Source organism: Homo sapiens, chromosome 1 (assembly GCF_000001405.40).
Source record: "Homo sapiens chromosome 1, GRCh38.p14 Primary Assembly".
Taxonomy (NCBI): Eukaryota; Metazoa; Chordata; class Mammalia; order Primates; family Hominidae; genus Homo; species Homo sapiens.
Genome location: NC_000001.11, coordinates 46,488,319 through 46,516,225, shown reverse-complemented (window position 1 = coordinate 46,516,225; position 27,907 = coordinate 46,488,319). Strand labels below are relative to the sequence as shown.

Genomic DNA, 27,907 nt, shown 5'->3' with positions numbered 1-27,907 from the left:
ACTGAGGTCTGGGCTGCTGGGTTCTCTTTTATTCGCCAAGTAAGACAAAGAACAGGTCACAACATCACAGGGAATGAGACTGACAGAAGGACAGATACACAGAGTGTCATGCAGCACTACACAGGGGGCAGGCGAGGGGACAGGCAGGGGTGAATTAAGTCTTGTTTTTTTCCACTAACAGAATAAATAAATACAGTACACAGTGTCTTTGCCATGGGCTGGCACGACCTCTAAGCACAAATGGTCACAAAACAGCTGGTTTGGAAAGCAGTCTGTAGAGCCCACCAGCCTTGGAGTTGGGGTTGGGATCCGGGCCCCTGGACCATGCTCTGAGGGAGTGAGGAAACAGAGAAATGGAGACTCAGACAGCAGGGAGAGGCCAGGCATGAGGCATTCCTGGAAGGGACAGTCAGAGCTTGAGCCTCTGGCTTTCAGGCCCAGGTTGGCCCAGCAGGCCTGGGAGGGGCTCCAGCATCAGGTGTGGTGGGCCTGTACCCTCTGCCCACAAGAAGGGAAGCGCGGTGCTGCTTACAAGCGTGCTCAGAGGAGATGCACGGTGCCGCTTACCAGTGTGCTTGGAGGAGACACAGGTGTCCTCTCCTCTTGCTCTCCAGCTGCTTTCAGTACCCAAGGCTGGTGCCCTAAACTTGAGAGCCCTCCGAGGGCAGGGACCACATGTACCTTCCCTGCCTTCTCTGGCAGATTTGGGTCAATTGAATGGGACAAGTGTTAACAAACATCTGAGGGAAGCTCGGCTGCTCCTAAGGTGGGCCTGCCTCCAGCCATGACAGAACATTGCCCCTTAGGAGTTCAGGGGAGGCTTCCTGGAGGAGGTAGTGATATCTAAGGCTGTTGGATTCCAAGGCCTAGTGACAGTCACTTGTACCCAGGAACTGACAAAAAGCTTCAGCCTAAAAGCAGCTAGGAAGCTTCCCATACCTATCCAGATGATTATTTTTTGTTTTAGAAACAGAACTTCCTGGGGCTAATCCCAGAGGACAGTTGATGGGCTATTGGCCACAAAATCCCTCCCAAACCAAAAACCTCCTCTGTCACTCCTGGAATCTGCCAACCTCCCACAGCGCTGCCTAAGTCTCTCCTCTGATGCCCCCATGGCTGGTGGATTCCCCTTCCAAATTCCAGACCCCAGCAAGAGACCTGAGGATTTGGAAACCCTCAAATGCCTGTCTTGGTGCTTGCCACATGTAGGTGTGGTCTTTAGCCTGGATTCCAGGCCCCTTAGCCCCACCTCTCGTGAAGCCAGCCACCCCCTTCCCATGGTCTACTGAGTCTCATCTCTGCTGCTTTGTTCAAACACTTCTCCTGGCCTAGACTACCATCCTGCTCACTTTTTTCCTGTCCAAAGCCTTCTCCATCTGCCCCAGCCTAGGCTGACCCCCATCAAGGGTGATGGGCATTGACTTCTCTGCAAAGCAATTCAACCAGGACACCAACAGAACCTCTCTCTTCCCACTGGGAGAGGAGACAAGCCTTAGCAATCTTTACCCTGGCTTTCAGATAGATCAACTTCTTTAAGCAGGGTTTGGAGTGTTCAGTGGTGAGCCACCAAGAGTTGGGGAGCATGACCAAGAATCTGTCCAAGCCATCACCTCCCACTGCCCAGAGCCCCTGAGATCATGAAAAGGTATGAAAATGGAGTGACTCCAGAGGCTGGCACTGGAACTCAAGATCAAATCCAGATTGCCTGAACTAGAAGGGACCCATTATGCCTATGGGGAAACTGAGGCAGTGTCTACAGTGAGGCTTGTGTGTACAACACCCCTTGCTCCACAGAAAGGCAATAGTAATTTCCTACTTCATATATTGTGCTTTTGAGAACCTTCTGTTGTCAATTTAACTAAAAACTTCTGTGTTACAAGGTTGCGAGCAAATGCAGAATGTAGAGCTGGCTAGGACCTTACAGGCCATCTAACCCAGACAGGGAAACAGACCCAGAGAGGCTACAGGCTTGCCCAAGGTCACACAGCTTTTATTTATTTTTTTTTTTTTTTTGAGATGGAGTCTCACTCCGTCGCCCAGGCTGGAGTGCAGTGGCATGATCTCGGCTCACTGCAACTTCCACCTCCCAGATTGCAGCAATCCTCCCAACTCAGCCTCCCAAGTAGCTGGGATTACAGGCATGTGCCACCACGCCCAGCTAATTTTTGTATTATTATTAGTTTCACATGTTAGCCAGGCTGGTCTTGAACTCCTGACCTCAGGTGATTGCCTGCCTTGGCCTCCCAAAGTGCTGGGATTACAGGTGTGAGCCACCATGCCCAGCCGGTCACACAGCTTTGAAAGGGAGTTTGCTGAGCTGGGTTTCCTGGCTATGAACAGGAACACACTTTTCCATTCCAGTGACTAGCTGGAGGGAAGCCCTTACTTCCATAATTGGCTCTGGGACAGGAAGCCTACAGAAGCCTGAGCCTATGTGCTGCTATATGCTTTGCACGCACCGTGCTCAGGAGCAGAGTTCAACCTTCATTCCTGGTCAGCCGTACCCCTGCCTTGGACAGTATCTGCTGAACGTGGAGGCTCAGCTTGTGGGAGAAGAGCACCAGCCCTGCTGTCTCTGAGAGCACCTCTTCCCCTGCTGCTGCTCTCCATCCAGGGAAGTCTCACCAAAGAGAGCTCTAGAGCCCTGTGGTCAGTCCTGGCTGAACTGTGTCACCGGGCCTCTGTCTTGGGAAGACTTACAGGCAGGAATGCTGGCCATTCTACTGCCTTCCCAGATTAACTACTGCCTCCTCAATCTTGGGAATGAGGACCTCAAAATTGAGAAGAGAGAAGAGAAAGTAATTCATGACGCCTTCTAGATGCCAGCCTGGGCAGGGGTGGGAGTGGGAGCCAGTGCCACCTCCTGCCTGCAGCTCCAGATCCCCAGAGTCTCCAGCTAGGGCCTTGTTGCTTCTATTGGGCATAGAAAGGAACAGCTTCCTAGAGAGGCCGCAGGTGCAGGGAGGCAGGCAGGGCAGAAGGAAGGGAATAGAAGGAGAGCAACGGGAAGTCGCAAAATTACTAAAACCAAAACCAGCCACAACCCCAAACAAAATATAGCTCAAGAACTGATGATACCAACACAGCCAACACCAAAGGAAGAAACCAGGGGCAGCGGGAGAGACAAGGAGAAAGATCAAGGGTGGAGAATACAGAGGCTGGGCCGAGACGGGGGCAGGGACCAGGACAGAGACAGGAAGAGGGAGATCAAGGGAAGAAGGAAGGAGAGAGAAGGAGAAACAGAAGGGATGGCTGGAGTGAGCCGCGGAGGCTGCAGGGAGGGGTGGCAGGGAAGAAGAGATGGGAGTGGGGCAGGGGGCCTGGGGCAGGCAGGAGCCTGAAAATATAGCTTTATATATTTATATTTATATCTCACATTCCACACGTAGACTTACTAGGGGGCAGAAGGATAGGGAGAAAAGGGAGGAGGTGCTATTGAGATGAGGATCTAGCCAGGGAGAGCCTCTCACTTCTCCGAGGGAAGCTTGGGGCACCCCAGCCTCTCACCTCCTCCCTATTCGGCCTCCATGGGGTCCAGGCAGGGCCATGCAGAGGGTGTGTAGGTGTGGGCTTCACCTCGGGCTGGGGTATGGGGAAGCGGAGCAGGGAACAGGACCCCAGGCCCTAGGATCCCTGGGCTCATGGAGTTAACTCCTCGAGAGCCACCTAGGGATAACCACAGGGCTAGGAGGGGACACCTAAGACCCCTGGCTGGGTTGGAAGCCAGACAGTCAGTTGGGCAGCGTATCGAGTCCCAGGGAGGCCGCGTGCTGCTTGGCCCGGAGCCGCAGGTTCTCGATGCTTGTGGTTTTACTGTTCAGGGTAGCTGATGCAGGAGCCAGGCCTGCTGGGGGTGCAGGCAGCAGAGGAGACCCCCACACACCCTGGTGGGCAGCAGCGGCTGCTGACAGGGACTGGTAGTAGGACTGGCAGTGCAGTGAGCCCAGCGGGGCCATGTTGACGCCCAGGTAGGGCACAGCAGCAGCCGCCGCTGCAGCAGCAGGGGCCGGACCCCCTACTTCGAAGGACGAGTAGTGCACCAGGTTGTTGGTGGCCGCCATGTGCTGGCGGAATTGCTCCTGCAGACGGAAGAGGCTCAGCGGGGACGAGGAATAGGAGTGGGAGGGGCCCAGGAGGCCACCCCCTGGGGCCACAGGAGTGATGGTCAGGCTGCCTGGGGAATCTGCAAGCAGAGAACCCAAGAACAAAGCCCTCAGGACAAGGGCATTGGTCTGCCAGGAGAGGTGCACTCAGCCTTCTCACCTCCTTGGCACTATAGACAAGACAGGCTTCGGCTGAAACCACATCCATCCCATCTCAGCCAGAGCATCCCCTGAAGCAAGGCTCAGAATCCTAGGAGAAAGGGACCCAGGCTTCTTGGGAAAGCTCCAGGGACCCTGCCAAGGCCCCCACGTCTGTCTCTTTTTCTTTTCAAGGGCTGTAAACTTCCCCCTCCCCCACCCTGCCCAGAGCTCCCATTCCTTCACTCCAACCTTCAGCTCACAGCCCCTGTCCCCTCCCTGCTGGGCTTAGGGTTTGTATCTGAGATATGCCTCATGCCAGAGCTCTGTTCCTTCAGAAATGTGCTCGGAGTCTCTGCTGCACGTGGGAATCTCTGGTACTAATACAGTATTCGCCCAGTATGCACTGGGACATCCAACTGGTTGTTAAAATATTGGAATACTTCCAAATGGTTGATAAATAATTTTTGCCCCGAGCTCCCGCAGTATCCCACCCCTGCTACCCAGCCCGTCCCTCAGGACCCCCTGGACCTTCCCACGGCTCTGCAACTAAAGGGTGAAAACCTGGCCCAGGCCTGCTGTGGTCAGTCCTTTCTGATGCGCCATGCCCCTGAGGGGCAGTTGATTACTCGCCTCTGACTTGCTTCACACGCTCAGGGCCCCCAGACCCCAGCCCTCCCATGGTACCCCTCAGACCTCACCTGCCTTGGGGCTGCCCCTCTTGCAGCCCAGCCCCTTGCTGTCAGCCCCAGGGCTCTTCTCAGCTTTGGGGTCCTCAGCCCCTGCCCTGGGGTCCTCCTCACGGTCCGGCTGATCCTCGGGGGCTGACTCACTGGCTGACTGCTCAGACAGACTCAGGTGAAGCTCAGCAGGGGGGTCGCTGCCAGGCAGACGTGGGGGCTGCTCAGTGTCCAGCTGGGTATCTGGAGTGGGGGCCTCGGCCTTGCCTTCCCCATGGGAGCCCTCAGCCTCCTTCTGCTTCTGGAGCTGTTCCTTCTGCAGGCTACGCTGCTTCTTCCGGAACTTGGCCCGGCGGTTCTTGAACCACACCTGGGGACGGGAAAGGAGCAGTCCGAGGTGGGCAAGAAAGAAGTGGGGTTGGTGTGGAGCAGGGTGCTCTGGGAGAGGATGTACGTGATAACATCCCCCCACCCCTCTAGGGAATGCACACCCTCTGTCCCTTCCCAAACTCCCCTCCTATCACTGAAGGCTTTGATGGAGAGATCAGTTGCACCTTGGCACAGGGATGACATGCTGGCTCCTGGACAAGCGGGCAGACTGATGGGCTGGTGTTTGTCTGCAAGGCCTAGTTAGGAGAGTTGGGCCCTACCTGCACCCGGGCCTCAGGCAGGTTGGTGCACATGGCCAGCCTCTCACGCATCACCACATCTGGGTAGTGAGTCTTCTGGAAGGTCTTTTCCAGGGCCTCGAGCTGCTGAGCCGTGAACGCTGTGCGGCTGCGACGTTGTTTGCGGTGCTGGGAACCATAACGGGCCTCCAAGATGATGTCTTGAAATGTACAGCCGTTGGAGGGCAAGGAGAGGGGGCCCATTTAATTATGGGAAATAGCTTTGAATCTTATCCTGCTCTGACCCACTGTGGACACCCAGGCTGCTGCCAGAGCTGGCCCTGGTCCCTTACCCTTAGAAATCAGCCATCCCCTCTCCATATGGCTGTGGGCTTTCAAGGTCTCTCCACCCCATTATGCACTATCAGGACCACAGAGGTCTAACTCAACTCCAAAAATGGCTGTCAGGCATATGATTGAGGGGGGTCTTCATTATTTGGCATTGGGATTGGGTAGGTGGGTATTACCCTAAGATGGATACTATGAGTATACTTTGAGACTCCATGATGCTAATAATCTGTAAGTCCATATCACAGGAGTTCTAAGACCCTATAGCCCTTAGATTCTGAATACTAAGACTTCTTTAGCATCAGAGTACTGGTCCCTGCCCATGAGAAGCCAGGCTGGGCTGGTACCCATCTCAAGGTCTAGTCAAGGGAGGACTGACTAGGCAGACAGAATTCACCAGCACTTGATTCTCTGTCCTCTGCATGTAAACCCCCTCATCCCAGCTGGCCTAGAGTCTCTGATGGCAGGGCCTCAGGCTCCTACTCTTCTGTTTCCTGAACAGAGAGCCTGGCTAAGGGGTAAGAGTGGAGCGGGGAGGGTGGGGGTGGCAGGGCTCACGTCTCAGGTAAGGCTTGTTGCACTCAGTCTTGACCCTTGTGGCTGCCTCCCCAAGAACAGAAGGACAAAGAGACCTGGTTCCAACCACTGTGGGTTTGTAGGGGAGACAGGACTATGGACCATTGATTCCACAGTCCTGTCCACATGTCTGGTAACATGATAACCACCCAGGATAGGTGTCTACCTAGGGCCGAGGTCTAGCCTCCATCCTGGGGTATAGCCTTCAGCCCTTTCACTTGACTAGCCCCTGAAGGATAGACAGTAACCGCTCTCCTCACTGCCTCCCATCATGTCATAAGTGGATCCTGCCCTGTTTGTGCTGAAGGGAACTTGAGTCATCTCAGCCTCTGCAAAGGGGTGCCAGAGTCCTTCCCCCGCCCTCCAGGGAATGGGAAGTCATCCACAGCACCCTAAATAGGAAGAGGAGGCCCGGCACAGTGGCTCACGCCTGTAATCCCAGCACTTTGGGCGGGTGGATTACCTGAGGTCAGGAGTTCGAGACCAGCCTGGCCAACATTATGAAACACTGTCACTACTAAAAATACAAAAAATTAGCTGAGCGTGGTGGTGGGCCCCTGTAATCCCAGCTACTCAGGAGGCTGAGGCAGGAGAACCGCTTGAACCCAGGAGGCGGAGGTTGCAGTGAGCCAAGATGGCACCATTGCACTCCAGCCTGGGCAACAAGAGCAAAACTCCATCCCCCCTCCGCAAAAAAAAAAAGAATAGGAAGAGGCAACTGGGTATCCAGGAAGCCCCAGACTTTGAGATACTTCTTCTTCAGTTTAAAAAGAGAGTCCTGAACCCCTCACAGACTGACCTTAATCCTAGGCCTGACTCAGCCCTGAGCTGAGTCATCCTGGGGCAGGGGAAGGAGTGGGGACCGCTCTGTCAGCCCCACTCTGGTTGGGGAAGGAGCAACAGCTCAGCATCCTACTGCTGGCTCCAGGGACTGCAGGGGTGGTGGGGGGTGGGGGGTGGGGGGCGTGTAGGTGTCACAGGGAAGCCAGGCTCTCTAAACCGCCGGCAGAGCCTCTGCTGGAAGGCAAGGCCTCCATACAAAGGCTCACTTGGAGTTCATGTCCTTCCTTCCTAAGAATTAGAGAGTTGGGGGTGGGCTGAACACCCCAGTTCCTCTGCCCCCACCAGCGGACATGAGCCCCCTGTCCCTGACTCCTCTCTGTGCTCTGGTCCTTGGGTCCTGGAATACTGTCAGGAGCTGATGTCACCACCAGGTTGTGCATAGGACTGTATCCAACATCCCCACACTAGAAACTAATGCCTCCACACTGGTCCAGAGAACCTTTATCCACTGAGTTCTGCCCAGAGGCCTGGCAGGGTCTAAAGGAGTGAGACTGGCCATGCCCTCCCTGCCAGGCCAGTGCTGCTACCCAGGTGGAGATCCCATCCCATTTCTGTGCCTTTGCTCATGTTGGCCTTTTTGAGGCCTGGTTCCTGCCCCTGTGGATTTCAGAAAGCTCTTCCTGACTACCCCAGCTGATCCTGCTGCTCTGAGCTGCCCCAGCATTTGACCTTGGATACCCTCCTGTTGTGCCCTCTCATGGGTCATGGGCACCTGTTCTCCCTAGGAGTTCCCTGAAGTTTTCTGAGGCCTGCCTGGCACAGGGCTGAGCCCATGTGGGTTTACCAGCTGCTCAAGGCTGGACCTGGGACAGGATGGGGTGGGTGGCACCACCTCCCAGGACATCAAACTCCCCATCCATGCCACTGAATCCTTTTCTCACCCACCGAGAGGCTGGCAGGGCAGGGCAACAGTCAGTAGAACCAGGTGTGGGGCACCAGACTGCCGGTCCCTCATAGGCATATATGGGTACTTACCTTGGGCTTTGGGTAATAATGACCTCTGAGCACCTACCAGGCTCTGCTGAATGCTTTGCATATGTCATCACAAATCACCTCCCAACCACCCTAGGGGATGGGCATGGCCATTGTCTCCTTTTTATAAAAGGAGAAACTGAGGCTCAGAGAAGAGAGCTGAGTGGGAAAGCCCGTGCTGATTTCAAGTCTAGGACTCCAAAGCTCATATTTTTAGCCATGTTACGTTCCAACCCCACTTGGCCCAGATTTAGCCTCTCTGAGCCTCCGTTTCCTTGTCCATAAAATGGAAATAATAACCTCTCCACATGGGGATTGGATGATTTGAGGCACACAGAAAGAGAGAGACTCCCACAGTGCCTAACTCACAGTTGGTGTCAGAACATAGAAGCTGTTATTTACAATTCCCTGTGCCTGAACTCTCCTTGCCTGGGCATTCCAGCCTCTTCCAGCTACTTCCCAGCCATAATACTCTGGACTAGTCCCTTACCCTCCTACCTCATTTCTTCATCTGTGAGATAGGGCTAATGAATGCCTCCCTCACAGGCTTGTTTTGAGAATTTGAAAGCATAGGGCAGCTCCAGCGCCCTGGACAGTGCTGGCAAACAAAAGGCACTCTGGATATACATGCATAGTTTTGAATTGACATCTCTCTGTGTTGCTAAGTGACCTGAGTCTTTTTGAGCCCCCTAGAACAAGCTTGGCCAGTGCTCCCTCTCCTCTTTGCCTTCCAGAGCCTTCTCCCCCAACCCCCACAGTCCTGTCCCCATGGTCCCATCCCCAGGGCCCTTACCAGCCAGGCGCTCAGCCAATGTAAGCGCATGCACTGAAGGCCGGTAGTCGGGGGCATGCTGGGCCTGCTGGGCTGCCTGCTGGTGCAGGTTGTACATGGCGCTGAGTGAGTTCATGGCGTGCAGTGAGTAGCCGTTCACCCCGTAGTGCTGCATGGCGGCATCCGCCTACAGACGGAAAAGGGAGAGGGGCCATGAGGCAGGCCTATCAGACTCTGCCCTCAGGGAGACCCACCCCCAGTCCAGACCCTGGATGCCCACCTTCTGATGGGTCAGAAGCTCCCTCCATCGGAAGGGAGCCTGTCTTGCCCGTGGCTTACCGTGTGGGGGTTCCTGCATTCACTCCTTCATTCACCCACTCATTCATCGATTCACTCGGCAGGGCCAGTGTGGGTTTAGGGCTCTGGGCTCTAGAGTCAGACTGCCCAGGGCAGGCTGAAACCTCAAGTCCACCACTCAGGAGCTTTGTGGCTTTAACTTATCTGACCCATAGTTTCTCTATCTGCAACATGGGGTTCATGATAGTACCTATCTCATAGGGTTGCTGCAAGGATTAAGAGAAGCCTTTACAAAGGACTGGATCATAGTATGTGCTCAAAAGTGTTAGTCATTGTGATTTACAAATTCATTTGCTGCTTTATGCAATCATCTCTTCGTTCAATTACTCAGGCACTTACTCATTTTTACCTTCATTGATTCACTCACACACTTATTACTTATTCAACCAATATCCATTGAGGCCCACTTGGAGCCAAGATCAGAGCTAGACTGCCCACTGAGGCATTTGCTTTGAAATGAGATAAACCCAGGGCTGGGCACAGTGGCTCATGCCTGTAATCCCAGCACTTTGGGAGGCCAAGGCAGGCGGATCACCTGAGGTCAGGAGTTTGAGACCAGCCTGGCCAACATAGTGAAACCTCGTTTCTACTAAAAATACAAAAATTAGCTGGGCATGGTGGCGCATGCCTGTAATTCCAGCTACTTGGGAGGCTGAGGCAGGATAATTGCTTGAACCTGGGAGGCGGAGGTTGCAGTGAGCCGAGATTGCACCACTGCACTCCAGCCTGGGCGACAGAGCGAGACCCTGTCTCCAAAAATAAAAATAAAAAAAAGAAATGAGATAAACCCTAAGGTCCTGCACAAACATAAGAATACTGATAAGAATACTGTTGTTATGACTGTCATACATTCACCGCCATTACCTCCCTTTATTCTCACCATATCTCCAAGAAGCAAGCAGGCCAAGAATGACAAGCCCCACTTGCAGTTGAGTCTACTGAGGCTCAGAGAAAGAACAGTGACAAGTTGAGGCCACACAGCCAGTCCAGGGCCTGCCCCACTCCACATTCCTGCAGGCTTATTCTTTCTTTTTTTTTTTTTTAAGTAGAAGTTAATGTTTTATTTTTTTTTATTATTATTATACTTTAAGTTTTAGGGTACATGTGCACATTGTGCAGGTTAGTTACATATGTATACATGTGCCATGCTGGTGTGCTACACCCACTAACTCGTCATCTAGCATTAGGTATATCTCCCAATGCTATCCCTCCCCCGTCCCCCAACCCCACAACAGTCCCCAGAGTGTGATATTCCCCTTCCTGTGTCCATGTGATCTCATTGTTCAATTCCCACCTATGAGTGAGAATATGCGGTGTTTGGTTTTTTGTTCTTGCGATAGTTTACTGAGAATGATGATTTCCAATTTCATCCATGTCCCTACAAAGGACATGAACTCATCATTTTTTATGGCTGCATAGTATTCCATGGTGTATATGTGCCACATTTTCTTAATCCAGTCTATCATTGTTGGACATTTGGGTTGGTTCCAAGTCTTTGCTATTGTGAATAATGCCGCAGTAAACATATGTGTGCATGTGTCTTTATAGCAGCATGATTTATAGTCCTTTGGGTATATACCCAGTAATGGGATGGCTGGGTCAAATGGTATTTCTAGTTCTAGATCCCTGAGGAATCGCCACACTGACTTCCACAATGGTTGAACTAGTTTACAGTCCCACCAACAGTGTAAAAGTGTTCCTATTTCTCCACATCCTCTCCAGCACCTGTTGTTTCCTGACTTTTTAATGATTGCCATTCTAACTGGTGTGAGATGGTATCTCATTGTGGTTTTGATTTGCATTTCTCTGATGGCCAGTGATGACGAGCATTTTTTCATGTGTTTTTTGGCTGCATAAATGTCTTCTTTTGAGAAGTGTCTGTTCAACTTACAAGGGATGTGAAGGACCTCTTCAAGGAGAACTACAAACCACTGCTCAAGGAAATAAAAGAGGATACAAACAAATGGAAGAACATTCCATGCTCATGGGTAGGAAGAATCAATATCGTGAAAATGGCCATACTGCCCAAGGTAATTTACAGATTCAATGCCATCCCCATCAAGCTACCAATGACTTTCTTCACAGAATTGGAAAAAACTATTTTAAAGTTCATATGGAACCAAAAAAGAGCCCACATCGCCAAGTCAATCCTAAGCCAAAAGAACAAAGCTGGAGGCATCACACTACCTGACTTCAAACTATACTACAAGGCTACAGTAACCAAAACAGCATGGTACTGGTACCAAAACAGAGATATAGATCAATGGAACAGAACAGAGCCCTCAGAAATAACGCTGCATATCTACAACTATCTGATCTTTGACAAACCTGAGAAAAACAAGAAATGGGGAAAGGATTCCCTATTTAATAAATGGTGCTGGGAAAACTGGCTAGCCATACGTAGAAAGCTGAAACTGGATCCCTTCCTTACACCTTATACAAAAATCAATTCAAGATGGATTAAAGACTTAAACGTTAGACCTAAAACCATAAAAACCCTAGAAGAAAACCTAGGCATTACCATTCAGGACATAGGCATGGGCAAGGACTTCATGTCTAAAACACCAAAAGCAATGGCAACAAAAGCCAAAATTGACAAATGGGATCTAATTAAACTAAAGAGCTTCTGCACAGCAAAAGAAACTACCATCAGAGTGAACAGGCAACCTACAAAATGGGAGAAAATTTTTGCAACCTACTCATCTGACAAAGGGCTAATATCCAGAATCTACAACGAACTCAAACAAATTTACAAGAAAAAAACAAACAACCCCATCAAAAAGTGGGCGAAGGACATGAGCCTTATTCTTTCACGGCCAATTGTTCCAAGGAAATATTCCATTCATCAGAGAAGACATCCATCCTACTGAGACGGCTCCAGCCTCAACAAGAGGCTGCCAAGGTCCCATCCGGACCCTCACCCAGTCTGCAGCAGTGTGAAATGTCATTTTTGGAATTGACTCCGCATCTGGAGTCTCCCCAAAACACAAAGGTGTTTCCTATTTCCCAAGTGTGGGAGGTGAAAAGGGAAGGCTGGGGCAATGGCAGGTCCATTTGATAAAAGGAAGACATATGCAGGTATCTCAGCTCCTCACTGAAACAGACACAGGCTATATATAATCAAACAACCACAGCTTACACACAAACACACACAGTTGCAGGCAAGCACATGAACGTTTCGTGCAAAAATACACGTACGCAGACATTCTTGGCAAGGCATTCACAGAAGCCTCCTTAATCACAGACACAAACTGAATGTCATTTCCCACAGTTCCACACACAGACATGCTCACAGATATCTACTCATGCAGCAGAGACATCTACACACAAACATTACACTCACATCCATTTGTATATTACACATATTCATCCAACACATATTTATTAAGCACCCACTTACTAAATAGCAAAGTCCCTAACTTCATGGAATTTACATTCCTGGATAGAGGGATGTATAACAATGAATAAAAATATATGTACTACTGTCGGACTGGAATATGGGCTCTGAAGAAAAATAAGGCAGAGGAGGAGAATGACAAGAGGGAAAGGAGAGATTGTTTTAGAACATGTGGTCAGGAAAGGGCTCTCCGACATTTGAGCAGAAACTTGAAGTCAGCCATGTGGAGCTCTCAGGAAAGGCTTTCCAGGCAGAGGTAACAGCAAGGACAAAGGCCCTGAGGCATAGACAAGCTTGTGTGTGTAGAACAGCAAGAAAACCAGGGTGGCTGGAGCACAGATGGAGGGAGCAGGTGAAGGAGGTAAGGTTAGAGGGAGAGGGGCCGCTAGCCAGAGGGCTCCACGGCCCATTGTAATCCCACTAATCCCACGGCCCAATGGAAATCCCAGCTGGATTTTATCCCGAGTGTGATGGGAAGCCCCTGGAGGGTCTTGAGGGAAGTAACATAATATGATCTGGGTTTTTTTGTTTTGTTTTGTTTTTTTTATTTCTGAGACAGGGTCTCGCTGTGTCTCCCAGGCTGAAGTGCAGTGGTGCAATCTTGACTCACCGTAGCCTCAATCTCTGGGGCTCAGGCAGTCCTCCCACCTCAGCCTCCTGGGTGTGCTGGGACTACCATCATGCTGGGATAATTTATTTATTTTTTTTGTAGAGATAGGGTCTCACTATGTTGTCCAGGCTGGTCTCAAACTCCTGGGCTCAAGCAGTCCTCCTGCCTTGGCCTCCCAAAGTGCTGGAATTACAGGCGTGAACCACCACACCTGGCCTATGGTTTGTTTTTAAAAGCTCATTTTGGCTGCTATACAGAGAAAAAACTGCAGAGATGCAAGAAGAAAAGTGGAGAGACCAGGCCACTAGGACACTGCAGAAGTCCAGGCTAGTGACCATGCTGCCTTCACTAGAGTGGGAGGAGGTGCCGAAAATGGTCAGATTCTGGTATTTTGAAGGTAGAATCAGCATGATTGCTGATAGCTTAGTTATAAGATGTGAGGAAAAGAGGGGAAAAAAAAAAGGATAACTCAGGTTTCCATCCTGAACAGCTGAGTGAAGATGGGTCTTTTCCTGAATGAAGAGCATTGAGTTGGAGAAGCAGATCTGAGGAGGGAGAGAATGGAAACCAAGGTTTTGGGGGACATGGCAAGAATGACTGACACGTGAATCCAACTTCCAAGTAAGCATATGTTGAATTGGCTGTTGGATATAGAAGTCTGGAGCTGAGGGCTAGATTTACAGACTTCAGAGTCAGCATTCACACATTAACTTCCTCCAACAACATTCACTTGCAGAAGCCCACTCCACACACCATAACCATAACCTCAAGGCAGAAAGCTAAGAGAAAAGAGTGATAGACATGGTGAGATGAAGAATTTACACCTCAGTATAACAGAATATACCATAAACAAAGCTAAAAGGCAAACAATAAATTTGGAAAAATATCTGTTATATACTGTATATGACATAGAGGAATTCATAAAAAATAAATAGCACAAATCAAATAAAAGGGAATATCCATGATATATACAAAGAACTCTTACTTAGGAATAAAAAAATAAAGCTGGGTGCGGTGGCACACACCTGTAGTCCCAGCTACTCAGGAGGCTAAAGTGAGGGGATCACTTGAGCCCAGAAGTTTGAATTCAGCCTGGGCAACATAGCAAGACCCCATCTCTAAATAAATAAAAAGATAGTCACCTTAGTAAAAGATAGGCTAAGTAAATGAAGAAACAACTCATTAAAGAAGAAATACAAATAGCCAACTGACATGACAAAAAGCTCAGCCTTATTTATAACCAAAGAAAGAAAAAGGCTAGGCGTGGGTGGCTCACGCTTGTAATCCCAGCACTTTGGGATCACTTAAGGTCAGTGTTCGAGACCAGCCTGGCCAACATGGTGAAACCCCACCTCTACTAATAAATACAAAAAATTAGCCGGGTGTGGTGACCCACACCTGTAATCCCAGCTACTCGGGAGGCTGGGGCAAGAGAATCACTTGAACCCGGAAGGTGGAGGTTGCAGTGACCTGAGATCATGTCACTGCACTCCAGCCTTGGCAACAGAGAGAAAGAAAGAAAAAAAGAGAGAAGGAAAGAAAGAAAGAAGAGAAAGAAAGAAAGAAAGAAAGAAAGAAAGAAAGAAAGAAAGAAAGAAAGAAAGAAAGGAAGGAAGGAAGGAAGGAAGGGAGAGAAAGAAACAGAAAGAAAGAGACAGAGAGAGAGAGGGAAGGGGGAGGGAAAAGAAAAGAAAGGTCATTGTTTACCGATCAGATTAGCAAATATAAAGAAAAATTATTACACAGGGTTATCTAGGGGAGTGGCAGATGGTCATTCTCCTACCTTGATGGCAGAAGAGCTATTTATTCCTTACATCAAAAGCCTTTAGAGAGTACATCGTCTTTGACCCAATGATTCCATTTCTAGAAACGTACCCTTCAAGTATGCAGAGATATGTGTATGCGAATATTTATCACAGCACTGCCTGTGATGGCAAACAATTGAAAACCTAACTGTCCATCGAGAGAGGATTAGTTTAGCAAATGAGGGGACAGGTATTCCCAGTGGACTACAGCACCGCAATTTAAAACAATGATGTGTATCTGTATGTGCTGATGTTCACAATATACTGTTGAGTGGGGGAAATAGGTAACAAAGCAGTATGCATGATACGATCCATTTTTGTAATGTATGTATAAATATGCATAGAAAAAAGTCTGGAAGGTTATAACCTGAAATGTTAACAGAGGTTATCTCTGGGAGATAGCAAATGGGATTACACGTGATTTTCACATTTATATTATTTCTTTCTTTCTTTTTTGGGGGAGGGGGGTAGGGGCTGGGGGGAGGTATCCACGTCTTTCGCTGGATATGAGGATGAAACCAGGCTCTGGAGTGTCACAAGCTCCAGGTGGGGAAGGGGGAACAGAGTTTAGAAGCAATTTCATCCATCCCAACTCCTGCTTTTGGAATGCCCCTCCCCCACCAAACTCAGGGGCTTTGTTGCTTTAGAACTCACTGCTGTTGATGTGGTAAGTGACATTTTAATTGACTTAATTATCGCTGATCTCACAGTTTTTGATGCACAATGCAGCTTTATTAACTGAAGCCAGAGAGATCCCTCTCTGGGCCCCACAATTGCCCCATCCCCATGGCCCTCGGAAGGTCTCTGAGATCTTCCCAGTATGGCCTGATGCCCTCCCCCTCCCCAGCACCAAGCACTACCAGACTACCTACCACTCCTTCTCATCTCCACGCCTTTACTCTTGCTGGGCCCTCTACCTGAAACACCATTCCTCTTCTTTCCCTTCCCCTAACAAATTCTTCCCTCTCCATAAGGCCTAGCTCAACTGAGCCCTCTTCAGAAATGGGGCCTTCCCCAAGTCGCCTCTGACAAGGCATCTCTCTCCACTCCAGGCTGTGATAAGTATTCTCAGATCATAGAAATGAGGATGATCACAATGATGACAACAACAACAGTACTAGCTATAATGTACTGAACACACTCTGTGCCAGATACCACACTCAGCACCTTCCATGTATTTTCTTAATTCTAGTGCCTGCAGCAGAGTGCTGTGATGACACTTCTATCTCCCCAACTAGACTAGACTAAGCTCGTTGAGGGCAGAAACTATATCATGCATTTCTGGACACCCACCCCGCCCCCAGCCCAGATCACAGGGTCTAGCGCAGAAGCAGGATTAGGAAATAAGGATCAGATGATGAATTAATAATCACAACTATTTATTAAATGCCTCTGATACATCAGACATCTCCATCAATTCTCCCAACACCGTAGGAGGTAGAAAATGTTATCCCCATTTTACAGATTCAGAAATGGAAGGCAAGAAAGATTGGATAATTTGCTAAAGGCCATGGAGGTAGAAAGTGGTGAAACAGGTGTCAACAGGTGAAGTTCTTCCCACTAGCTAGTATTTCCCAACCCCAGTCGCACAGGATCTTTCCCCAGCATATTCCATTCCCTGATTTCTATCTTCTCTGATTTGGTCCAAGGCAATAGGAGGACAGCAAGAAAAAGCACATTCTGCTGGGCGCGGGGCTTACGCCTGTAATCCCAGCACTTTGGGAGGCCAAAGTGGGCAGATCACCTGAGCTCAAGAGTTTGAGACCAGCCTGGCCAACAAGGTGAAACCCCAACTCTGTTAAAAATACAAAAATTAGCCAGGCGTGGTGTCAGGCACCTGTAATCCCAGCTACTCGGGAGGCTGAGGCAGGAGAATCGCTTGAACCGGGGAGGCGGAGGTTGCAGTGAGCAGAGATCGCGCCACTGCAGCCTGGGTGACAGAGTGAGACTCGGTCTCAAAAAAAAAAAAAGAAAAGAAAAGAAAAAACACATTCCCTCTGGTATGCATGTTCGTGTGCACACTGTGTGCATGTATGTGTGCTGTGAGATGAAGCTGTGTGGAAGCCTAAATCTTCCCTGCTAAGCTCCTCTCCCTCCAGCTCATACTCCTCTTCCTCACTACAGCTGGACATCAAGGCCCCTGCTCTCCTCTGAGGCCATAGAGGGACCCTTGTCAGTGGATGCTACTTACCATCTGAGCTGTACACATGTGGTACCACACAGCCATAGGTCTGAAGCCCACCTCAGTGTCCATGTGCGGCCATGTGTGTACACAACCCAACTGGGATCGGCCACATGATTGTATATGCATCTGTCTCTGTTTATGCGTATATCTGGCTATTTTATGTGTCTTGGTGGGTGTACATGCCTGTGAGCCCATGTGTGCAAATGATGTGTCTGTAAGTGTGCGACCAGGGGACAGTACACTAAATGGTACCCTAGAAAGTCATGTGGCCCTGTCCCCTGCTGCTAGGTCAGTGTATTGTGGCTCTTCCACCCCTGAACAAGGTGTGAGAGAGAACAAGAGAAAAATACAGAGAAAGAAAAAAAAAGCAAGGAGAGAGATCAACACAGAAAATAAATAATTTGTCTTAGCCATTTTAGTTTCTGCAACATTTAGCACAGAGCCTGGCATACAGTTGGTGCTTAGTAAATAGTAAATGTTGAATGAATGGGAAGGAATTTTAGACCAAGAGATTGTGAGGGAGGCAGGACCACCACAGCCCAGGATGGTCCACGGGAGGAAATGGAGACCCAGAGTCCTAGCCCACTACCTCCTCTGTCCCAGGACATAGGCCTCAAGAGGGTGACCCCTGCCCAGTGGGCCCTTTCCCAGCAATAGGGGCAGCCAGGACCTGCACTACTGAGGTCTTCAGCCAGGCCCAGCTGCAGGAACCCCTTCCACATCCAGTTCTGAGTCCTGGTGGCCCCTATAGGGAGGCCCCCCCAGGCTGGAACCCTACAAGGCCTGCAGGAGCCTCTAAACAGAGGCCCTGCACTCTTGGCCCCAGGCCGGGCCCTGCCTGGGCTCAGTCCACTGCACACTCCAAACAGAATCAATTATATATTTAAAAGGTGCCGCCCCGCAATTCCTGGCGAGCCAGGAGAGCCATCCATCACGGCGCGGCCGCGTTTCACAAGCTGTCGAATTGTGCTTACATTGGTTAAAAGAATCTTTATATTTCATTAAGCAAGCAGATCGGCGGATCTCCCGCCACAGGCGCCATATAGATGGCTTTAATTTTCCAAATCTGCAAATGCATCCGTTATGTCCCCGCATCGCTGCTGGCTGCGGCCTAATGCCTAGCCAATCGAAGAATCAAGCAGAATTTTATTAGGGGGCATTTTTTATAAATTAACAGCAGCAGTGCCATGAAAATGCATGCAAGACGTCTTTGATTAAAAAGAAAGTGGACCTTTCCTTGGGTCACACCCTGCTCAGCCACCCCACAGGCCTACCCCACCAACTCTTTGCCTCTCCCTTTCCTTCTCTGAACTTTTAATTTTCCCTCTGTTTCTTCTCATTCCCATTCACAATGGAAACAAGGCAGAAAAACTTTACTTAGAGGAAAGGAAAGAGAAGGAGAAGCAGAGGAAACAAACATTCTCTGAGAGAATGGCACGGTGAGGCATGGTGAGACACATCATCTCATCAACAACAATAACAACAGCTACCAGTCTTTGAATATCTACCACGTGCCAAGTCTTGTTTCACTCATTCTAGGTATATCACCTAATAAACTTCAACACAACCCTTCCAGATAGGTATAATTATCCCCATTATATGGATGAGAAAACTAAGACTCAGGGAGATAAAGTCTCCTGCCCAAGGTCCCACAGCTAGTAAGTGGTGGAGGCAGGATGGGAATCCAGGTCTCTGAGTCTCTGAAGAGCTATCTGGTATTTATTTTCACAGTGTGACCAAGAGATAGGCCCTGGTGAGGACCAACCCTGGGTGTCAATGGCAGAGGGAGAGATCGAGAGTAGCCTGTTGCCATGGACTCTCTTCCCTGAGAAAGGCTGCTGCCCCTTTATCTCTGGAGGTTCTCCAGTGACACTCTGAGGGGAGAGGCCACTGCAACCGTCCCTCCTGCTTTGCAGTTTGAAGTCCAAAAGGACTTTTACTCATGCAGGTAGAAGATCATGAATACACGAACCCGGGAGCAGCAAGCCAGGGCTCCTGCCCCAACTCCAGGCTGCTTTGTGACCTTGGCTAGCGTCCTACCATCTCTGACCTCTTCTGATATGACACTAACCAGGAGGGAAAGAGACCTTGTCATGAGAAGTGTGTAACCCAGGGCTGGCCAGCCACGTGTGAAGGAGGCCGAAAAGGAGGGATTCGTTCATGTGTATGCATGTGTGTGTGCATGAGTGAGTGGGTGTTGTGGGGCTGGCTGAACAAGATGACCTAGAAGCCTTCCAACTCTGAGCTTTTGGGTCCAAGATTTTAAAAGAAGCTTTGTCCCTGGCACATGCCAGATCCTCAACTTCAGCACCTCATTAATTTCTTACCCCAAGTCTATGAGGGAGGCGCTCTCCACATTGCAGATGAGGAGTTGAGGCTCAAGGAAGGTGAGTCCCTTTGGCTGGCCTGCTTGGGAATGGGGAAGGCTAAGCCCCCATCCCAGTAAGTACCCTGTTCCCACATCTGTTCTTAGTTCTGAGTTGCCAGGAATCTGCAGTGGGAGGATAGGATGTGAGGGCTGTGGAGATCCCGATCCTACCCTGACCAAGGACCCTGCAGGCACACAGTTTGAGAGCAAGCTTGACATGATGACATCCCCAGCTACTACCTCTCAGATGCCGCTTATTTTACAGGGGCTCCTCCAAGAGCCCCATATCCATTCCTGGGTTACGCTGAACCCTCCATGCTCCCCAAATCTCCTGTCAGTATCAGGCACTCAAAGGTGCAGAAAGCCCAGGGATCAGCCTCTTCCTCCCCCTGCCAGGGGCCAGATTCTTCCCAACAAGGGCTCTCCACCAGAGGGTGGGGTGGGCCAGGCCTCATTTGAAACAAATGAACCCATCTCTCAGACCAGTTCTCTCTGATACCTTCAAAGCCATATTTCTTAAGAGCCATATCCAAATCTGTCATCTCCCCTTCCTTCCCTCCTGTACACTCCCACCCACCACTGAGCCATGGCTCTCCAAAGCTACTATGTGGCTGCCTCCCACTCCGGGAATGTTGTCCCTCCACCAGCATGACCTGGAGAACTCCTGACTTGCATTAAGCTTGCACACGCCTTTCTCCAGGAAGCCTCTCCTGCCATCCCCATCTTACAGATTCAGAAATGGAAGGTGAGAAAGATTGGATAATTTTCTAAAATCATCCAATTTTAGCAGTGGTTCGGTCCAGAAGTCACCAGTTGGGTCCGGTGACTTCTTTAAATTCCTATCCTTACCAAATTGTAGTTGCCAATTTGCCTACCTTTTGCCAGAGTTTTATAATAAATAACTATTATTACCAGCTATCCTCATAGAGACCTGACTGGCAGCATCTCATTTAATCTTCACAACCTCATAATCCCCATTTGACTGATAAGGAAGCTGAGACCCAGAGAAGTAAAATCACTTGTCCAAAGCTACACAGCTAAGCAGCTTAGCCGGGATGGAATCGAGGGAGTCTAACTCCAAATTGTGAAATCAGTGCCCACCAGAGCTCTTAACCTTGATCCAGGGCGGGGTCTGCTTCCCCAGCTAGTACTCAGGACCCAGTGCCCAGAGCAAGGGACATCAGACATTCATTCCACAAATAAAGATGGAGCCACTGCCTGTTGAGCGATGGACTTTGGGGGTAGTGTCATGAATTCCAGCTTGAAGGGCTCAGATTCTAGGGGAATTGCAGATGGTCACATGCCCTAGGGCAGAGGAAACCAGCTCTGGGAGATGAGAGTGGGCCAATGTCCAAAGTTTCCTCTTCACCCTGCCTGCTCTGCCCTGCCCCAGCAGGGAAAATCCAATGTCCTCACCAGAAGCCAAGCCACCTTCTGGCCACAGCTGTGACCCTGACCTTGTCACAGACTAAGCTCTAACCTCATCCTACATGAGCCCTGGTCACTGCCCTCACCTTGGCCATGTTCCCTCCCCCAGCCAGTGGCATAGGTATCATGACCCCCACATCGCCACCGTTAACCCTGCATTGCCTGATCCATATGGGAAGGGGATGAGCTGTGGGGGGTCAAATAATCTGCTCATCCTCCTTTCATCTCCACTGAGGGCCCCCAAAGTGAACCTGGAGTTGGAGCTATGCATGGCAGGCAGGTGGGCTTGGAAGTATGTGGCTTTGCAAGGGTCAGATTGGAAGAGGTGCTGGACTTCATAACGGGCACACAGAGCTCATAAATTCCTCAAAGGAGATTCTCACCTCCCCTCTTGGCTCAGGGATGGGGGCCCAGTGGATAGGAGAAGAACCCACTGGGAGAGTTCCAGGGTCCCGGTGGGTCTCAGGGCCAACCACCGGCCAGTGGCCCTTTGAAGGAGTCGGGGCTCTTAGTTCCCTATACAAACTGTTATCCATTAACATCCAATTATCCCTTGGTCCGAGCCATTAATTATAAATCAGCCACTAATTGGGGTAATTAGCCCCCCGCAGGCTAATGGGCCGAGACTGAGGGAGGCCCCTCCGCCTACAGTCCTCCAGTTTTCCGAGGTCCTTAATGTTGGGGGTGCAGAGAAATCAGGCGGCTGGAGTTAATTTTTTGTTCTTTTAAGGCAGCAAAATGCAGCCAGGAAAGGGAAAGAAGATGGGAGAGGCCACTTTTTTGTTGCTTTTTCTCGAATCTGGCCCAGCATCCATCAGCTTTTGAGAGCAGGTAGGTGGCGGGGTAGGCCAAGGGACCTGACTGCAAGTCTTGAGAGTAGAATTGTCTGGGTAATTGCTTGATTCTCTGCTTCCTTTCTGGCAGAGATACAGCTAGCACACTGGAGATCGAGGAGACTTGGGCGGAGCCGAGATGGAGCAGGGCATAGGTTAAGACCCCAGGATGTTCCTGGCCTCTCCAGGGTACAGAAGTGGTGGCCCTGCCTGCTCAGTTAGCCTTGGCCCAAAGTCTGTCAGGGATGACCTGGTCCACTTTTGGCCATCCAGATCCAGGCCGGGGCTGGGAAACAGGGACTACAGAGTACCCTGAGGAGCAGAGCTGCTCTAGGCCCAAGTTAGGGCCTCCAAACGGCTGGAGGAACTCGGAGGAGGGTCTGTCCTGCGGGCGCAGAAAGCGCGGTTGCGGCTCCTGCTCTGCACACTGACAGATGTACAACTCATCCGGGGCACAAGCAACCCTGGAGATAGAGCTGTGGAGGCTGGAACAGGCCGGGAAACCCAGTGGGCTCCAGTGGCCTCGGGGCTCATGGAAGCAGCGCCCACAGTGGCTGTAGACCAGAGGGAAGGAGTGACCCCATCTGGGAAATGTGCTCCCTCCTGCCGCTGTCATATCCAGGGAACTCCCCTTTGCCAGCAAAAACCTGGCTAAAGTCCGAAGAACAGTTGGGGCCAGAGCCACCAGAGCTGGGATCTGTGGTCTGTCCAATCTGGGATGTCCACCCATCAGGCAACACTGGGGCAGAGTCAAATAAGCTTGGAAGAACGGACAGGTGACTAAATAGAAAGAGAGGCCACTGAACGGCGGGAGGGCTGGACATTGGAGAGCCCAGCTCGGTGCCCTTCTTACAGAAAGGGAAACTGAGACTCGCTCAAGGTCAGACAGGAGAGGCACTCAGTGCAGGATGAATGTGGAGACCAGAACACACACCCTGCCGAAAGCTCACCAACCCACCCCAGCGCCCCTCCCTACTCGTTCGGTAATGGGCTTTGGCGGGCAGCAGTGGCGTCGCCCGGGGCCTTGATTAGATATTTATTGCTGTCATTTACATGGGCACTGCGGGGCGGCCGAGCGGGACTGTGAGAAAGGGGTGGGGTGGGGGGCGAAATGGGAAGGCAGGGGTGGGGGAGGTGAAGACTGGCTCCTTGAGGAACTGGGACTGGCCGGAGGAGGAGGAGTAACTTCGAGGCCTGGAGAGAGTGGCGGGAATAGGGAGCGCAGAGGCCAAGCAAAAATGTAGACGCACCCTCCCTAGGGCTGCCTGGGGCTTCTGCGCAAGGTGGGGCTGTGACACTTGGGACTGTTGTCCTACGGGGTGTCTGCATGTGTTGAGCATGAGTGTCTGCGTGAGTTTAACCTGTGAGTATGGAACTGTGTCTATCAGAGGGGTTTTACGTGATTAGTGGATCTGCCCATGCCTCTTGTGTGACTTCTCAAAGTGTGTCTGAGTGTGATACCCATAGCCCAGGTGACTCTAACCCAGGAGTCCCACTCTGCGTGCCTGTCAGCCTCTGTATGTGTGTCTGTGTGTGACCGTCAATCTAGACAGCTGGCAAATATGTGTGCGCACACAGAATTCGTTCAGACATAGGGGACTGCGCCTCTGGGTCTGCTTCTCCCTTTCCCTCAAAAACCACCGACAATGTCCCCTTGCTCCAATCGTCAAACCAGATTGGTTGCTCCTCAGAAGAACCCTGGCTTCCAAGAGGCTGGCACTAAGGGCTATGGTGGACTCCTCATTTTAGGCTGTACACTCCCAGAGCACTGACGCCCAGGAGAGGGTGGAAACTTTATTTCCTGCTCAAAATCCACAGTGTGTGCGTGGGTGTGTGCCCACAGGGTGTCAAGTGCAAGTTATGTTTGAGAACAGAGAAACAGCTCAAATTTCCTGACCACTTGGGGTTGTGCATGTGAAAGTGGCTAGGACAGGGGTGCAGGGATCCTCCAGACACTCACCCGATGCCCGTGAAGCTGACCCGTAAGCCCACTATCTGGCAGAGCCCATCCCGAGGCCCGAGTGCTTGTCCTTCGCCATGGCCTTCGCCTGGGGCGGGTTTCCACTCCTCTGCACCTCTGCCTTTCTGTTCTGCATTCCATTCGGGGTCTGGGCTGACAGATTCCCGCCTCCTTGCAGGAGTAGGCGCCCCCAAATACTGCAGGGGTGGGGTAAGGTGTTTACCCCCCTCCTGAGTAGCAATGCCCTGCTTCTTTTCCCAAAAGTGTGTCTACCCCAGCCATACAGGAGAGAGATTTGAGCCAATTATCCAGAGAATTTGCTCTCACTAGGCAGCAAATTCGATTTTTTTCTGAACACCTAGACACACATAAACACAGCTGGTTTGCAGAAAGGGGAGGTAGGAACTAAATTCATTCGTCCTTAGGCCAGAGTGCCTTTCCATTCGAGGGGAGAACCAGGGATGTGGGTAAGTGAAACACAAATCCCCGAAAAATTGAAAACAACCCCCACTACACCCACCTAAAACTAACAGACCATAGAACTTTCTAGAAAGGGGTTGGACAGAGCTGACCCGCCTGCAGCGCACAGAATCCCTAGCACTAGAGAGGGGAAAGGACTCTGGTCGCCCTGCCATCGCCACAGCCAGGTAGGAACTTGCACAATTTCCTCGGCTGTGGAGCACACAACCCTTGCGGTACAGACAGCCCCTTTCCTCCAAGGTCCATCAAGTCAATAAAGCCCTCCTCTTTCCCCAACGCCCTCAAACTGGAGGCGCCCTTAGTAAACCAATATCGGCGCACCCTGCCCCGGCCTCCGAGGACTTTTCTCAAACGAAAAAGACCTTCTGGGGCCCGGGTCGGAACCAGCGCTGAGGCTGCGCTCCAGGCCCGGTGGGTTCTCGGCTTTGGTGAACTGCATGCTTGCAAAGAGGGTGAAAAGGCCTCGGATCTCGTCCTCCCCGTTCTTCCATTCCGGGACTCCTTCCTGCCGCAAATCACAAGCCTGAGGAGCCCACTGCCTCCCAAACCGAGTGTGGCTGGAATCCAGGAAAAGTCGGGGCCCCAGATTTGGTGCGAATTTGGGGAAGAGGAGGTTTCCCTCAAGCTCCTTAAGTGAACCACCAGTGCCAACGAAGCCCCTGCGCAGGTTCCGGGAATTTGTGACCGCCAGAAAGTTCAGCCGGTGGTGCCCGGGACCCTGCACAGTCCATCAGGGCCCCTGGCCTGTCGCCGTCAACGACTGAGTTACGGCCATCCAGTGTGGGAAGCCTAGGGAGGAAAGACCCTGGCAGTCCTCGCAACCCTTTGACTGCTCCCCTAGAAGCGCCCCGAGAGCCGCTCCGGGGACTGGCCCCAGCCTGCCGTTCCTCGCCGGAGCTCGCCTGACCCACGCCGGCTGAGGCCGCGGGAGGCAAAACGAATTCTAGGGAACTAGGGCCACTGCGCCCCAAACACCCACCTGAAGGTTCCTAGACCAAGGCCGCGTCTTCGAGGGCAGAGGCTGGCTGAGCGCCGAACCACCCTCAACTGGAAAATTCGTGCAGAATCGCAATCCAGAGAGAAAAGGCGCACTTGGTGGCAGCTGAGTTTGAACGGGATCTGCGCGGGCGAGACCAAAGCCAGACCCGGGCAATGCCCGGAGCACTGCGGGGTTCGCGTGGACCAGGAAGCTGGGAGGGCGTGGGCGGCCTCTGCGCTCCGCAGGCTGGGAACTGGGCTGCCGGCCGCGCCCCCTCCCCAGCCCCCGCCCAGGGCTCCGCAACTCCCCAGGCCGCATCTGGTCCGCATTACGCCGGCCACCTCCCTCCCCGCGCCGCCCCCTTCCAAACTGAGAAGGATTTGTCTCCGCTTAATATCCAAACCTTTTTTGTATTTTTTTTTTCAGGGGCGAAGTAATATCTTCCAAATGAGGCAAAACCGTGACGGATCCGAAGCGTTCTCCGCGGGTGCCTGCGTCTCCGCGGGCCAAGGCCTTCGTCCTCGCCTCGGCGCGTTTCTACCCACGGCTTGCCCTCCGCTCTCTCTGCCTCGGAATTTCGAGTTCTGCGCTCTTTCTGTCTCCCTAAGTTGCTCACTTTCTGCCACCGTTTTCAGCCCCGGGTATCTCTTCCTCTGTCTCACCCTGGGTCTCTCTGTCTGTCCCCGACTCGGTCTTTCTGGCATCCCTCCGCTTTCTCTGTCCCTGCGCTGTCTGTCTGTCTCCTAGTCCCTGGCTCCCTGCAAACTTTCTGATCCGCCCAGTGGGTCCGGGACTGCAGGACCGCAAGAGGGGAGGCTGTCCCCGGGTTCTCACGGCCCGCGTCCTCCCTGCAGCGACTGTCCCGCACTACTCCCGGCTCGGCCCGCCAGCCCCGCCCGCTCGTACCTGGTCACCCCGGCCCGCGCCGCCGCCTCCGCTGCCATCTACGCGCGACGGGGCCTGGGCTGGAGTTTTAAACTGCGTTTCCCGGGCGCCCGGCGCGGGCCCGGGCGCTTCCTAATGGCCCTGGTGGCTGCCAATCACGCCTCGCTCCCGCCCCGCCCTGCCCCGCCCCGCTGGTGCCGCAGCCCAGCTCCCGACCAAGGTGGCCCGACAGTCGGTGGGTCTGTGCGCCGGGCTCGCGTCCGTCACCTCTCCCGAATCTCTGCTCCTCGAGCTCTGGCTCCCGGTCCAGGGATCTCTGCCTCTCTTGGGTCCGCGGAAGCCGCAGGCCGATCCCTGGGGTGTTGAAAGGTCTTGAGAAACCTCCCCCTCGCCGGTCCCACCCCGACGCTTGGCAGCTGGAGTCCGTAGAGGTGACCTGGGGGAGCCCCGACGGACTCCCGTCCCCACTGTCCCTTCAAGGTTGTGCGCACACACACGCGCGCACACATACCTCTTCCCATCAGTTCCACACCACCTGCAACAACACTGCCACCCCCGCGCCACCATGCAGCGCCACAGCCAGTACTCTGAACTCGCCGCCCACACACCCCGCGGGTGCGCTGGTTTGCGCTCCTAGCAGCCGCTCACCTGTCTAGCACCTGGATGTTGGCCTCTGGGCCGGGAGGCCGCGGGCTGGAACTCGCGGCTTCACACACAGCACAGGCACCTGTCGCCGGGACTGGGGGAACAAACACACTCGGCGACCGGTCCACTTCGGGAAAATCCTGGGCCTGAGATGGTCCTGCTCTTACCAGCGCTCTGCTCCCTCCAGGCGGGAACCGGCTCATAGGAAGAGGACGTTCTGGGGCCGGCTCTCAATCAGGCAGAGGCTCGGCTTCCCAAAAGGTGTGTGTCTGAGCTGTGTGCCAGGGGGCAGGTGTACGCCCACACTGCCAGTGGATGCAGGGGTGACAAGTTGCTCTATAGAGATTCTGGGAGGCTCTGTGGATGTGGCTGTGTGGAGGTGGCTGGAGAGGCCTTGGCCAAGTGTGTGTGGGGGGGTGTGGGGTAGGTGGGGAGGGGACACTGTGCAACCAGCCTTTGGCCTCAGTGGCTGCAACTGTGACTCACATGTTGAGTGTGCCCTTGTGACTGGTGCTCCCGTGACCACGAATCCATGTGCAGCTGTGGGGTTTCATATGGTGGTGACTCCTTTGTGTGTGTGTAGCGAGCCCTTGTGCAATTTTCAGCTCAAACGTAGCTGCAAATCCAGGTGGCTGCGCGCAGGATGGGCACAGAGTCTTGGGACCAGAGCAGAGGGACCCTGCTTCTGGCAGTCCCTCTGGTCTATAAGCGAAGCTCTCAGGTCTACCTCCTGGGAGCTGGGCTGCTTGCTTAGGGGCTCAGGCACCGGGAGGAGCTGGTGCTGGCTGGCCAATACTGCCAGTAGATTTTAGAGCCCCAGCCTGGGTTGAGGGCGTCAGGAATTTTGTGCTGGGTGGGGCAGAAGGGGCCACAGGCAGAGTTGAGGGTCCGGGTCGATCTTCAGTCAGAGTTAGGGGCTGGGTGCCTCGGGGGGG

At 52.1% G+C, this 27,907-nt stretch overlaps 1 protein-coding gene across 4 annotated transcripts, besides 4 other annotated features; it reads right to left on the bottom strand.

The window, feature by feature from the left end:
• DMBX1 (diencephalon/mesencephalon homeobox 1) lies at positions 10–26,390 on the bottom strand. 4 transcript variants are annotated; one of them, NM_147192.4, is made up of 6 exons: positions 26,349–26,390; positions 25,443–25,582; positions 9,062–9,227; positions 5,572–5,765; positions 4,943–5,291; positions 10–4,183 (listed from the first exon to the last, which is right to left on the bottom strand). In NM_147192.4, exons 3-6 carry the CDS (start codon positions 9,213–9,215, stop codon positions 3,732–3,734), a joined length of 1,149 nt encoding a protein of 382 aa, NP_671725.1. In that variant the 5' UTR covers positions 9,216–9,227; positions 25,443–25,582; positions 26,349–26,390; the 3' UTR covers positions 10–3,731. The 4 variants fall into 4 exon arrangements, with proteins under 4 accessions (NP_671725.1, NP_757379.1, NP_001374705.1 ...); NM_172225.2 differs by having other exon boundaries at positions 5,572–5,750; NM_001387776.1 differs by lacking the exon at positions 25,443–25,582.
• Positions 3,828–4,473: an enhancer, noted in NCBI's record as "H3K27ac-H3K4me1 hESC enhancer chr1:46977425-46978070 (GRCh37/hg19 assembly coordinates)". NCBI's record gives its function as "activates a minimal SCP1, AML or CMV promoter by ChIP-STARR-seq in primed H9 embryonic stem cells {active_cell/tissue: H9 hESC(primed)}" and the evidence as "EXISTENCE:reporter gene assay evidence [ECO:0000049][PMID:30033119]".
• Positions 23,264–23,915: an enhancer, noted in NCBI's record as "H3K4me1 hESC enhancer chr1:46957983-46958634 (GRCh37/hg19 assembly coordinates)". NCBI's record gives its function as "activates a minimal SCP1, AML or CMV promoter by ChIP-STARR-seq in naive and primed H9 embryonic stem cells {active_cell/tissue: H9 hESC(naive and primed)}" and the evidence as "EXISTENCE:reporter gene assay evidence [ECO:0000049][PMID:30033119]".
• Positions 23,916–24,569: an enhancer, noted in NCBI's record as "H3K4me1 hESC enhancer chr1:46957329-46957982 (GRCh37/hg19 assembly coordinates)". NCBI's record gives its function as "activates a minimal SCP1, AML or CMV promoter by ChIP-STARR-seq in naive H9 embryonic stem cells {active_cell/tissue: H9 hESC(naive)}" and the evidence as "EXISTENCE:reporter gene assay evidence [ECO:0000049][PMID:30033119]".
• Positions 25,378–26,182: an enhancer, noted in NCBI's record as "H3K27ac-H3K4me1 hESC enhancer chr1:46955716-46956520 (GRCh37/hg19 assembly coordinates)". NCBI's record gives its function as "activates a minimal SCP1, AML or CMV promoter by ChIP-STARR-seq in naive and primed H9 embryonic stem cells {active_cell/tissue: H9 hESC(naive and primed)}" and the evidence as "EXISTENCE:reporter gene assay evidence [ECO:0000049][PMID:30033119]".

What these genes read in the sequence shown, in the direction of transcription:
- DMBX1 (NM_147192.4), bottom strand. Translation starts at nt 9,215, where the DNA reads ATGCAGCACTACGGGGTGAACGGCTACTCACTGCACGCCATGAACTCA. An exon ending in ATTGGCTGAGCGCCTGGCTG is followed by an intron (nt 5,766 to 9,061) that starts GTAAGGGCCCTG and finishes TGCCCTCCAACG; the next exon opens with GCTGTACATTTCAAGACATC. An exon ending in GAGGGGCAGCCCCAAGGCAG is followed by an intron (nt 4,184 to 4,942) that starts GTGAGGTCTGAG and finishes CTCTGCTTGCAG; the next exon opens with ATTCCCCAGGCAGCCTGACC.